Genomic DNA, 13,203 nt, shown 5'->3' with positions numbered 1-13,203 from the left:
GAAAATGAATCCATATAAATGAAATTCAAGTAGTAATTTTAGAATGTGATTTCATCCTGTGGGCAATCCTAGAGATTCTTACAAGTTAAGATACAAAGTAACAATTGGTGATTTTATCCTTATAGCTTCTTGAGTTTCTGTTACTGGATTAGTCAAATTTTTTAGAATTAAAGGAAAGCATTGACTGAGTTCTTTTTACTCTATTTATGTAACAGTTGTGTTATTCACATTAGAAAATGTAGTAGCGAGTATTTCTTTGATTATGAATAATAGCTGAAAAGTCTACCTTTAAAGAACTTAATTGGTTTCACTAAGATTTTTGCCTTCTCTCAGGTCAAAGATTCTAAACTGCCTGCATATAAGGATCTCGGTAAAAATCTACCATTCCCTACATATTTTCCTGATGGAGATGAAGAGGAACTGCCAGAAGATTTGTATGATGAAAACGTGTGTCAGCCCGGTGCGCCTTCTATTACATTTGCCTAACATCTTTGGACGTGGCAGAACCTTACATATTCTGTGAGCTTCGATGAGCCAGAGTGATATCATAACCACCAGAAATCATACTCTCCTTTCTTAGTCACAACAAAATCACACATGTCATCTTTGTCAAGGGCATAAATATATCATTCATACCCCCATTAAATTTTGTTAGAAAAATTACCACATTAAATATATGAGTTAAGTAGATTGGATTTGCTGAAATTGGTGTTGGGCATATTAGCAAAATATTCTTAATTTGTGGACTCGATTCTTTTTTACTACATATTTCCCAAGTTATCTTAAGATGTCTGTAAATTTAACTTTTATTAAAGTTTTGTCAATCTTTGTGAAATAGTGGTTGTGGAACAGTAGAAAACCATATGGGGACTATAGTGCAACCTATTTGGGTAAAGAAACCATTTGCTAAAATGGAGAAAGTAAATAGATTTTTATTTAAATTACAGAAACATGTTAAAGGCCGGACAAAGGAAAGACAATAAAATCATAAATTATCGGTCCTGTTTACATTTTTGTTGGGAGAGGTGATTACTTTTTAGTTTTATCACTCAATTATAAGATCAGTGTGTTTTGGTTTTGTTTTGTTTTGTTCTGTTTAGGCAGGGTTTTGCTGTGTTGCCCAGGCTGGAGTGCAGTGCAGTGGTGCGATCTTGGCTCACTGCAGCCACGACCTTCTGAGCTCAAGTGATCCTTCCACCTCAGCCTCCCATGTATCTGGGACTATAGGTGCCCACCACCATGCCTGGCTAATATTTGTATTTTTTTGTAAAAATAGAATCCCACTATGTTGCCCAGGGTGGTCTTGAACTTCTGAGTTCAAGCTTTTTACCTTCCATGGCCTCCCAAAGTGTCAGGATTACAGGCGTGAGCCACTGCACCCAGTCTACCTTTCAAAAAGAATTTATAATGATCTAAGATTGTATGTTCAGCAAACTTTTATTAATCATGTATTAATCAAAATGCTAATGGTTTGTGGGTTTCTTTTTAATTGTATGAAATTAACATGTATTTACTAATGGCTAGTCATGACAAATAAGCTTAACCATGTGTATAAGCAGACCTCAGTTTAAATACTTGATTTCCTCTGAACCAGATTCTTAATTCACATCACCCAATACGTTTGTTAGTCATAGTGTTAGATTTCCATGTGCTATACTGTCCTGGTTATATCACGTTTTTCACTTCAAATCCAAAGGTAGCCACGTTTTTTTAAAGTTTTTATTTATACTTTATCTTATTCCATTAAAAATGTATGGCAATTGATAGGAAATCCACTCAATAAAATAGAAAAATAAGAGAAAAATATTTAGGATAATATAAATTAGAATAGGTGGTATTTTGGGGGAGGGAATAGTGTCAATGTCATATAGATGAGCAGGCTATGCTGTGCAGAGTTGTTATATTCAGATAGTTTGGTTTTGAGCTTCCTGGGTGCTAAAGTAAAACATAACATTATTTTTTATGTACTGTTCATTATTCATGAGTTTGATTAGTGATAATAATAGAGTGTCATAGTCTTTAACTGGAGTAGATTACATTTAAAACCACCACACCATATTTGGTTAAAAAAAAATATCAAACTAGAAATTTGTTAACTTGTTAAAAGTTTATCTCTAGTAATCATCATATACAAGGGTAAAATGCTAGAAGAATTCTTTTCAGGGATCAAACAAGGATACCCTCTACAACTTCTCTTCAACAGTATTCTTGGGTGTCCTAGCCAGTGCAGTAAGACAAGTAAAAGTAATGAGATAAATTGGAAAGTAGGAGCAAATCTCATTATTTGTAAGAAATATTTACCTAGAAGATGAAAGGTAGACAACTGACAAGCTATCAGAACCAATAGAGTTGAAAAAGGTAACAGTACAAGATTAATACACTAACATATAGCAATATTTTATGGGAAAAATGGATATTTATTTATAATAGCAATTAAAAATCACCTAGGGAAAGCCTAACAAGAAATATGCTAGAGTCTTATGTTCTTTTTTGAAAGATAGATAAGAAAACTTCAATAATGGAGCAGAATATCATGGCCATGAATGGGAAGGTTATATTGTAAAGAATTCATTTGAATCCTGTTTTAAAACTCTCAATAGGACTTAGAGCTAGTCAAACTGATTCTAAAATTCATGTGAAAGTGTAAATTCAAGAATAGCCACTACTTAAAATGGTACACATTAGATATGCCCCCATACTATGCTTAGGAACTTATACGGACATACCTTAGAGATATTGTGGGTTTGGTTTCAGACCACGGCAATAAAGCAAATATCACAATAAAGCAAATCACAGAATTTTTAGTTTCCTGATGCATATAGAAGTTATACTGTACTGTAGTCTATAGTGTGTTTCAATAGCATTGTATCTTTAAAAATATACATACCTTAATTTTAAAATATTGTCAGAAAATGCCAAAGATCTTCTGAGCCCTTAGCAAGTTGTAATCTTTTTAGTGGTAGAGGGTCTTGCCTCAAAGTTGATGGCTGCTGACTGATCAGGGTGGTAGTTTCTGGAAGGTTGGGTGGCTGTGGCAGTTTCTTAGCATAAGGCAATGGACTTTGCCACTTGATTGACTCTTCCTTTCACAAAAGATTTCCCTGTAGCATGGAATGCTGCTTGATAGCATTTTGCCCACAGTAGAACTTCTTTCAGAGTTTGAGTCAATCCTCTCATACCCTGCTACTGCCTTACAACTAAATTTATGGAATTTTCTAAATCTTTGTTGTCATTTCAACAGTGTTCACAGCATCTCCACCATAAGTAGATCCAATCTCAAGAAACCTCTTTCTTTACTCATCCATAAGAAGAAACCACTTTTACTCATCCATAAGAAGCACCTCCTTATCTGTTCAAGTTTTAGCATGAGATGGCAGCAATTCAGTCACATCTTCAGGCTCCACTTCTGCAGTTCATTCCTCCACTGGAGCCTTGAACCCCTCAGAGCCACTCATGAGAGTTGGAATCAACTTCCAAACACCTGTTAATGTTGATATTTTTACTTTCTCCCATGAATCATGAATGTTCTTAATGGCATCTAAAATGGTGAATCCTTTCCTGAAGGATTATGGCAACTTCATATATTAAGGACTATGGCAACTGTAACCTTACAAAACATATTTCTTAAATAATTAGAGTTTGAAAGTCACAATTACACGTTTATGCATGGACTACAGAATAGATGTGTTAGGCATGGAAACAACATTATTCTTGTACATCTTCATCAGAGCTCTTGACTAACTTAGGTGCATTGTCAGTGAGCTGTTATCTTGCGAGACAAATGGACAGTTATTTCTGGGAGAACATAAAATCTTTTACCTGCATTATTTGTGAAAAAGGAATCAGTATATGAAGGTAGCCAGTTGCCCAGACATAAGATTTTTTGACGAAGGCAGGCAACCTTCTGCACTTAAAGAGCCTGCCCCAAACTTACCATCTTCTTTCACTATAGTCGGTGGTCTGTGGATCTGTTTTTGAGTTTTAAAATAGCATTTCTGATCACCTTCCAGGATTACAAGTATGATCCCTGTCTTCTAGAATCAGGGAACAAAACTTTCACTCTCACCCCCCAACCCCAACCAGTCCCCACTGCCAGCAGCTTCTACAGGTACATATCCTTTGAAGAGGATCCAGACTCCATTCTGGCAAACTGAGTGGCCCAGACGAACTGTGTCCTTCTCTCCAGTTGTGGAATACCTAAACCAGTCTGCCTAGTCCAACACTACAAAATGTGATTTCCCAAGAACCTTAGGGTTACTATTTCTGGCTACAGCACAAACATTTTGCCTCAGCATCTGTCCTCAAATGTTCAGCTCGGAAATGGAAGTCTGCCTACTATAGATAGGGAGTACATGGTCCCAGTACTCTCCTGCTCAACTCTCTGGATCCCAGGCAGTACTAGAAGTCTGCTCTTGAGCAGTGCTGACCACTGGACAGATACGGTGGCAATTCACTTCTCAGCAGTGGAGCTGTCTTGGGCCTGAGTTGAGCTTGAGTTTGATTTACTGTTTTAGATTTTGTCTTGAAATGGAGAACCTTTTTGTAATTAAACTTCATTCAAATTAGACATTTGTTCCAGCATACTTGGTACTAGCTATTAGGAATAAAATATGGAAATACTGAACCTTGGATAATTCTCTAAGTCTTATAGAGGCCAACAGATTAAGGAATACTTTCAAGAGTATCCCTTACACTACTTAGACTACTGGTCATCCTTCCTCTCCAAGACCTTTTTCCTACCTGCTAGGGTAGCCGAAGCTGAAATGCAAATGTTAATTAGTCCTATTTCCACAGTGGCCCCTGGCATGGGTAAATTGGATGATGCCAGCTGTCACAAACATTAAGTTGTAAATGAAAATATTTCTTACAGCAAGTATAAGGATATACTTTACAAGAATATTAAGCATTTCAGAATCAGTAGTGCTTTTGAGTCAGTAGTGCTTTTGCAGTCTAATGGTGAGGTACAAATCTGCTTTTCAACTTTCCTCAAGGGGTAGAATATAAGGATGACCTTTACAGCTAATTTCCAAAGGTAAATTTGCAGATGGGACCTGACCATGTTTCAGGACATATGGAGAAATGTGTATAGAACTATGGCCTGTTTTTCTAGTGTAAAGAGTATTAGAATACAGTCAAACACACGGAAGCTGAGTTCGTACTTAGGGTTCCTCATATGCAGAATGAATTCCGTTAGTCTGTAGGATTACTTGCCTTACATCCAGTAGCTTATTTTGTTGTACTAATCAAAAAACCCCTCTTTGAGAAAGAGTGTGTCAGAGTGAAGTCTCTCCTGATTCCAGCAAAATTGAACCTACGCCCTAAATCGTTGCCCAAAGAGAGACTGTTGGCTGTGTCACAGTGAAAACCCATGATGGGAGGAAAGAGCAGTGTTCAGATTGCTGACTCTGAACCTGTTATTTGGACCTCTGGGATGAATACCTTTAAATGTTGGTGTTATTCCTCATTTTTGTCAGAGTAGAAACACAGTGTGGGCTTCCTGTGGCACTGAGTCTTGCAAACTTGTCTTCTAGCCTGGAGTGTGATGTGCTTCTACTAGCTACATTATTTTTCTATGGCTGATTCTTTTCCCTTGGTAGGATGTGTGTGATTCTAAAAATGCCTTTTACTGCCTGTTTTGCCTGAAGGTCACCACTTGGGAAGTTTTCCCCACTTTTGCAGGAACTATGGCAAGAAGAATGTTATGTTTCTATTATGGTACTTATCATGTTACTGCTTATCATGCTTTTATGAACAGTTTTATAATGGAGCACTTTCGTGATGAGGTAGGGCATGTTGCTGATAACTTACTGAACTGCTGAACCAAGAGAGTGAAGACAGGCAGACAGAAGCAACTCACTATGCTATGAGGCCACCTTGGGCAAACATCTTCAATAGCTTTATAATCATGTGTTACTTCATGGCTACCTGTTTTCTCTATGGGAAGAAGTTCTTCACATGAGAGTTTATTTTAGTAGTGATAGATAAAGCTTCTACTCTCTTCAGGGACTTTTCTTAAAGTTGACTTTACTATAACAACAGACAGTTCTTCAGTTTTCAGTTTTATTGCTATTTCTGCTAGAACACCTCATCCACCAGCTTGGCCCCATAAATGATAGTGGTCTCTCAAAGCATGTCCCACCAGACAAATGAAGACTGTCATTCAGACTTTGCCTCCAGCAATTACCTAGGATTCCCTGGAATAAGAGGACTCAGTGTCATTATCCCCTCCAGAAAACAGCCAGTCCTGAGCATGCAGGGTTGCCAGCCTCAATTTCATCGTTTGCTTTTCTGCTTTTAAATGTTTGCAAACAATAGCAGTCCATGTCACATGTTTTATTCTTTTTAGATTAATGAGGTGGCCTGTTCAAGTTAGACAGGCCATATTAATTTCAGCGAATGCGGTCCTTAGCACCACAAAAGCAAACAAATGATTTTAACTCAACTGGACAAAGAGTCTTGGCATAGTAGGTGCGTAATTGTTGGTTTTTGGATTTGACTGGAGAGTGAGAGTTGTGATTTTGATTCTCCAAAAGCAGACTATATGAGCACCAAGTATATTTTAGGTCATTTAGAAAGTTTGTTGTTTGAACAAATGAGGATAAGACATCCATCAGTTTTTGACACTGCACCAAATCTGCTTGATTTCAAAAGGAACTAACTAAACACTCCATCACAAGAGTCCTGACAAAGATGCACGGATGGCTATATTAACGAGACTGTGTCAAAATGAATAATAATAAATGGCTGTCTTGAGAATCCAACGTAAATTTCCTTATCTAAAATAGTGGTTTGTTTAAATGATGAAGCAAAGATGGCATTGGAGCTGTTGGCTGACTGTCCCTTTTTTTCTGCTAACTGCAGAAGCACGGAATCTGATGCCCTACTTTGTGGGGTAATGGTGTGCTTATCTCCCCCTCCTCAAACAGAGTTTGGCACGTTGCTAATAACAGCCAGCCTACTGCTAAAATATCAATGACAGAACAGAAGAAATAGATATTTAGGAAAACATAAATCAAAGCTGAGGAAGTAGGCAAAAAAAAAGCACTGATAGAAAGCAAATAAAGAAAGATCTATAATATTGGGACAGGCAGCATCTCCCTGCTCACATGGTAATTTTCTTTAGCCAGTAACCAACGAGGATGCCTGCCATGGGAAGAAGGTGTGATTTTGTGATTTAATGATCCAAAGCCCATTTTTAGACACCACTTAGCCATAAAGAGAGGCCCAAGTTTCTGTGGTCCAGGAGTCATTGAGATAAGTATTTATGACAAGGTCCACCCAAACACAAGGGGACACAAGAAGGGGGCATGTCAGGCACAGGGAATTTTCACAGTGGCTTACAAAGGCAAGTCTTACTCTTACCTAACACAGTAGTTCTCCACACTGGCTGCATGTTAGATCCCCACAGAAGAGCTTTTAAAATCCCCAATCCAATATTCTTGGAATTGGGGGGCAGGAGAGAGTAGGAGACCCAGTCATTAGTGGTTTTTAAAGCTCCCCAGTTAAATATTTAACTCCCATTTGAAGAGGGGCTAATAAGCTGAGATTAAGAAATACTGACCTAAAACAACATGACGTAGACAGGCAAATCATTTGTGGAACTCAGGCCAGTTAATTGGTCATCTCCCTGAAACAATTCAAATTGGAGAAAATTCTGTACAAATGTAGTAATAGTGATGTTTTATATGTGTATAGTATTTTAAATTTTAAGGTGTTTTTATGTTCATGTCAGGGTGCTCTCAGGAAAATGCTTAGCATCTTGTAAAACTGCAAATGTTAGATATCATCAACCCAGTGTTATAATTGAGAAAACAAGCAGAGTGCAAGTCTAGGACTTATTTGGAGTCTCACCAAAGAAGTGGCTGGCAAAGCCTAAAATTGGGGCACTGGACACTTTCCTATATTCTTCTATCCTGGGAATCATGATTTCCTTTGAAGAATGCTGTAAAATGTTGAGTGTATTTGTTTTTGTCTGTTATGAACTGTGATTGGCCTCACACATAAATAATGAATTCTTTTAGGTTGCTTTAGGAATGTGTTACTTTAGTATCTCAAATCAATAATACAATCACAAGTGAAACAAGCTGTCAATCTTGCCTAAAGTTTTTAAGTTAGGGTTGTCCTGCATCTGCACCAAGTTTCAAAGGTTTAAGAAAGAGTACTGAGAGGAAAAATTGAGAATGAAGAAAGTTTTATCCATTAACTTAGTTTCTGTTTTTACAAACTGGGATAGATCAAGATTGTTATTTTCTTTTTATGGCTGAATGTTTTAGTACAACTCCAGAGAAACTGGTGTGGAGATGGATAATCTTGAGTATAGGATGACATTGCACCAGCAGATTCCTAATGGTTGACTTAGTAATCAATGAATCCTCCTTCCCAGGCCTCATCAGGGCCACTCTCCCTTAATACTTGAAGTTTTGAGTCAAAACTACATGGCATTTATTGAACACCCACTGTCAGATGTTTCACACATGGTCTCTCATTTAATCCTCAATCACCCTGCCAGGTAATTGTTATCTTTGCTTCATAGATGAGAACATTGAGACTCAGAGATTGTGTAACTTTTCTGAGTCAGATATCTAATGAGTGGCTAATGTAAGACTAAGAGTTAAAGGTTGCCTCTGCACTCCAAGTCATTCATTCTGAGAAGAACTCCAGCTTCCAGTCACCCAAGTTTCCTAGCCATTCTGGTGAATGCTGCTGCATAAGCCCTCTCTTAAGCTTTGGGGAGAGATGAATCCCCCTCCCCTGTGTCATACCCAAAGACATGGCATAGACAAATTTTCTGGGAGGCAGTTTCTCCCATGTATCCAAAAGAAAAGAAAGTGTGCATTGTGTCCTTTAAGTTCTCCACTTCCCTCTTCTCCCATCACCTGAGCCAGGAAGACAGTTGAAAGAAGATTGCTAGAGCTTGAATGAGGGTGGGCCAATTCACCTACTGGACTGCAGAACTCTGGGTGATGCCATTCCTATTTATATTTGAGTGAAATTGCATATTTTTCAGGGCTGTCTTCACCATCCTCAGAGGGGAAAAGGGTTGAGTATGTATTGGGGGGGCTGAGTGCTGTTGAGGATAAATTAAAAATAAGGAAAACATTTGCCCTTTCACTCCAGGCTGCTGGTCAAGATGGTCAAATTACCCTCTCAACAAACTCCAAAATTAGACTTGAGCAAGGGTCCTGGGCCTAACAGATATTGTTTAGACCTGGAAATAGCTCTGAGCAGTAAAACATGTGAAACTTTTTTTTTTTTTAATCTTGGAAATGTTTCCTTATTAGTACTACAGAGCTACGTCTGAAGGCTCTAGGGGAGGATTCTTTTTGCCTCCCAGCTTTTGGGGGCTCCAGGCTTTCCTTGGCTTGTGGCTGCCTTTGTTTTCACATGGCCTTCTTGAAACTTTCTTTAAGAAGACAAATTCTTAAAAGACAGTTTCCGGAATATCAAAGAAGTCATATAAGCCAAAACTGCTGAGTCATCTAAGGATTGATTCAAACATTAAAGAGAGTTATTGCAGCTTTTTAAGGACGATGTTCCAATTTTCTCTCCACCTAACAAAGTGGTAAGGTACATTGGACAGGACAGAGAGGCACCCTTGACTTCTGCGTGTCTCTTCATGGACAGGCAGACCTAGGAAGAATATCCATGGATGAGTCATTTCTCTTCTTTACTTGATAAATTAGGTTGACCTAATCAACCTGATTAGGTTGATCTGGCCAACTTTAAGAAATCCTCTAGTGATCCTTTTCTCTTATCATTAAGCAGAAAAGTGTCTGAACGTCGTGTTGCCCTTAAAGCATAACATTACTTATGTAATTTCCCAGTTGAGAATGCATAACCTGGATCTAATCATTGAGAAATATTAAATCCCACCAAAAAAAAAATGTATTTCTCCACACTCCTTGGTGGCCTCACATGTACACATCCCCAGGGGTCACCCACCCCCCGACCTTGACCCCTCCTTGTGAGCTCAAAAAAAATAGAGAAGAGAATGTATTCTTCAAAAATGTCAAATGTGTGTCTTTTATGGCAAATCAAACCACCTTTTAAAAGAGAGGAAAGACAGACTTGGTGGCACGCCTTTGACCCTCTCTCAAAAAAAAAAAAAAAAGACGGGAAGGAAGAAAGGGAGATCGACTGGAGGCTTTTGCGAGTGGCTGATTTGAAACTGGAACTGTAATTCTTCGGTTCCACTTTAGTTTACTTAAATGTATTCCCTCCCATTTATCCAGAAGGAGTTGGACATGACAAGTGTTCATTGAATTCTTGTTTACTAAAGACTTAAATTCAGGAGTTAGGAAAATACTTGAGGTCATGTTTCCCAATACTTCCTTGTGGGAAGGAAGGATGAAGAAAAGGAAGGAGAAATAAATGATGGCCTGGGAACATCTCTTTAAACTACAGATAGAGCCTAGAGCTAGAATTAGCACTGCAGAGCAGTTGTGCCAGCCATTTCTCCCCGCTATGAATGAAGCTTGCATCTGAGGGTTCAAGCCTAATCTGTAGACAGTGATCTAGGGCACATTCCAGGGTCTCTGATTCTGCCAGTGCTTCTAGTAACACAAACTGACGTTTCTAAACAGAGATGACAGACTCCTAAGAGATGCTGAGAAGCTGTTAAAGGCTAAAGAAGGGAGCAGCATGCACGTTGAACCCATTTGTAGTTTTCACTGGTGTCTGATAATTGCTTATTGCAGAACACAGAAAGCCAAGGTCTGCATGCTTTCAGTTGATGCCATGGAAGTCCCTGCCTTTTCCAGGTAGTTCTGTCCCATGGGGCAGAATATAGAGTGGAGCTCTGAGGAAAAGTCTCCAGATTTTAAATTATATTTTTCTCAAGAGAATTTTCTTTAATGTATGATATACTGGCATTTCCTTTTTGTGTACAGTTTTTCTAGACTGTAAATTAACAAATTATGAATTAATCATACAACATTAAATCTCATCAAACTATTGATAATATTCCAACAAGCACTTTACTACCTGCTGTGTTAAGCAGGGCTTTCTACTATTATTTGATCCACCTAGTTATTTTATTTGCTTTTCTCTGTTCTGGTTTCCCTTCTGCATCCCCATGTCTAGTACAGTGCCTGGCAAATGACATCTAGAACTTCCAGAAGGCTTATTTGGTAAATGGATGAAATGAACATAGAATCTTCTTCATCTTCATCTTTTTATTTCCTTGATTGTTTGATTTTCTCTCGGTTGACTTCAACACCATAGTGATATTCTTGTAAAAGTTTAAGATCATTCTAGAATCTTACAAGCCAATAGCACATCCATGTACCCTATGCGTATTACAGAAGATATGCCCATTAGAAATGTTGGTCAGATTAAAACTTTAATAAATGGAGAGCAGACCTGTTGCTGATGAAGAGACTGCATACCACAAAATTCCCTGTTATTTCTAAGTTAATTTGTAGGTTCAACACAATGCCATATTCCACCAGCGTTGAGGAGAGCCATGAGTAGAAAAGGCATGGGGGGTATAATTTTGTAAAAGTGGTTCTAAAATTCATCCAGAATAATACGTAATAGGGTCAAGATTTATCTTTCCAGACTCTAAACGATAGACTCTGTCTTGAGAAAGAACAAAGTGCATGTGGTACTAGCACAACAATAAGTAGATTTTAAAAATAGAACAAGTAGAGAAAAATACTTTTAAAGGTCAGCTTACTATTTTTAAACTTGGAAAACAGGAATCCGGAGTTCATACCCATAATAATAAATAAACAAGAGAAAAGGGAGGACTGTCGATTACAGTAGAATGTTGAGTACCAACTAATAAATATAGTAGGGGTGTTAGAGTTGGAAAATCCAACTTTATTATTAACTTCATTATTTTGCAACCATCATGATAAAGATTGGTTCACATAAGAATCATCAATGGATACTAAATCTAGGATTAGGGAGGGATAGATTTTGTTGGGGAGCAGGATATGTGTATGGTCTTAAAGTGTCTCCCCACAGCTTGCTTATTAGTTGAAAGAGGAAAATTCTAACTATACAATGATTACTAAGTGAACAAAATTAATATGTCAAATGAGGGACAAATGAACATCATTTGTCACCAGATATGAGACACCAAAGACATAACATCACTTATGTAATATCCCAGCTGGGAATGCATAACCCAGATGTAATCATTAAGAAATATCAGGCAAATCCCACGAAAAGAAAAAGAGAATTTCTTCAAAAATGTTAAATGTCATAAAAGACCAAACAGAAGACTATACCAGATTAAAAGAGATTAGGGAGCCATGACAACTAAATGTAATACCTGATGCTAGACTGAATCCTGTATTGGATCAATTGGTAAATCCAGAATATGTACTTTAGATAAAAATGTTATCAATGTTTACTTGATAACCCTACTATGGTTATATAAGAGAAACTCTTATTTTTAGAAAATGCACACTGAAGGTATATAGAGGTAAATAGATATGGGATATACAACTTAGTTATTCTCAAATGTTCAAGAAGAGGCTCAGAAAAAAATATTTAGGTAGATGATAGAGATATATAGGTAGGTAGTAAAGTAAATAATAAAGCAAATAAAGGCAAAATATTACCAATACATAAATCTGAGCAAAGGGCATATGAATGCACTGTACTATTATTGCAACTTGTGTGTAAGTTTTAAATTATTTCTAAAGTTTAGAAATACATACAGTTATGGTTCCATTTATATGAAGTTCAAGAATAGGCAAAACTAATATTTTATATGAAGTTCAAGAACAGGCAGAACTAATATGTAGTACTAGAGATCAGAATTGAAATTGGCAAGTTACTTCCACAGAGGAGAGGATATTGACTGGGAAGGAGCTCACAGGAGCCATCTGTAATGTTGGAAATGCTCTGTATCTCTATCTGGGTAATGACTACGTGAATGTATATGTTTATATGTAAAATTTTATTGTGTTCACTTAAAACTTATGCACTTATATATGCTATATCTCAGTTCAAAATGAATTTAAAATATTTTTTATTAATTGTCTGTTAAGAGCAAGTCGTGTATGGAAGGGTGGAAATGGAAAGTAAGGGATATAATGAAGGGCTGTCAGATGGGCTCAAAAGTGAGTAATAGAATGGTGCCGAAGAAAAACTTCAAAATTTGCCTCAAAACTTTATAGGTGAAGCAACTATTTTAAAGTACCATAGAACCATGCACAATAGAATAATAATAATATACCTTTACCCACC

At 37.4% G+C, this 13,203-nt stretch overlaps 1 protein-coding gene across 1 annotated transcript in view; it reads left to right on the top strand.

The window, feature by feature from the left end:
- The window catches only part of MRPL3 (mitochondrial ribosomal protein L3), a 40,760-nt gene extending 39,763 nt beyond the window's left edge, over positions 1 to 997 (top strand). Inside the window, exon 10 of the mRNA NM_007208.4 lies at positions 334 to 997. Within this exon, the coding sequence (NP_009139.1) occupies positions 334 to 486 (153 nt within the window). The 3' untranslated portion in view covers positions 487 to 997. The remainder of the gene's footprint in view (positions 1 to 333) is intronic.

Source organism: Homo sapiens, chromosome 3 (assembly GCF_000001405.40).
Source record: "Homo sapiens chromosome 3, GRCh38.p14 Primary Assembly".
NCBI lineage: Eukaryota > Metazoa > Chordata > Mammalia > Primates > Hominidae > Homo > Homo sapiens.
Note: the sequence above shows the minus strand (reverse complement) of the source record. Positions and strands in the feature narration are given on the sequence as shown.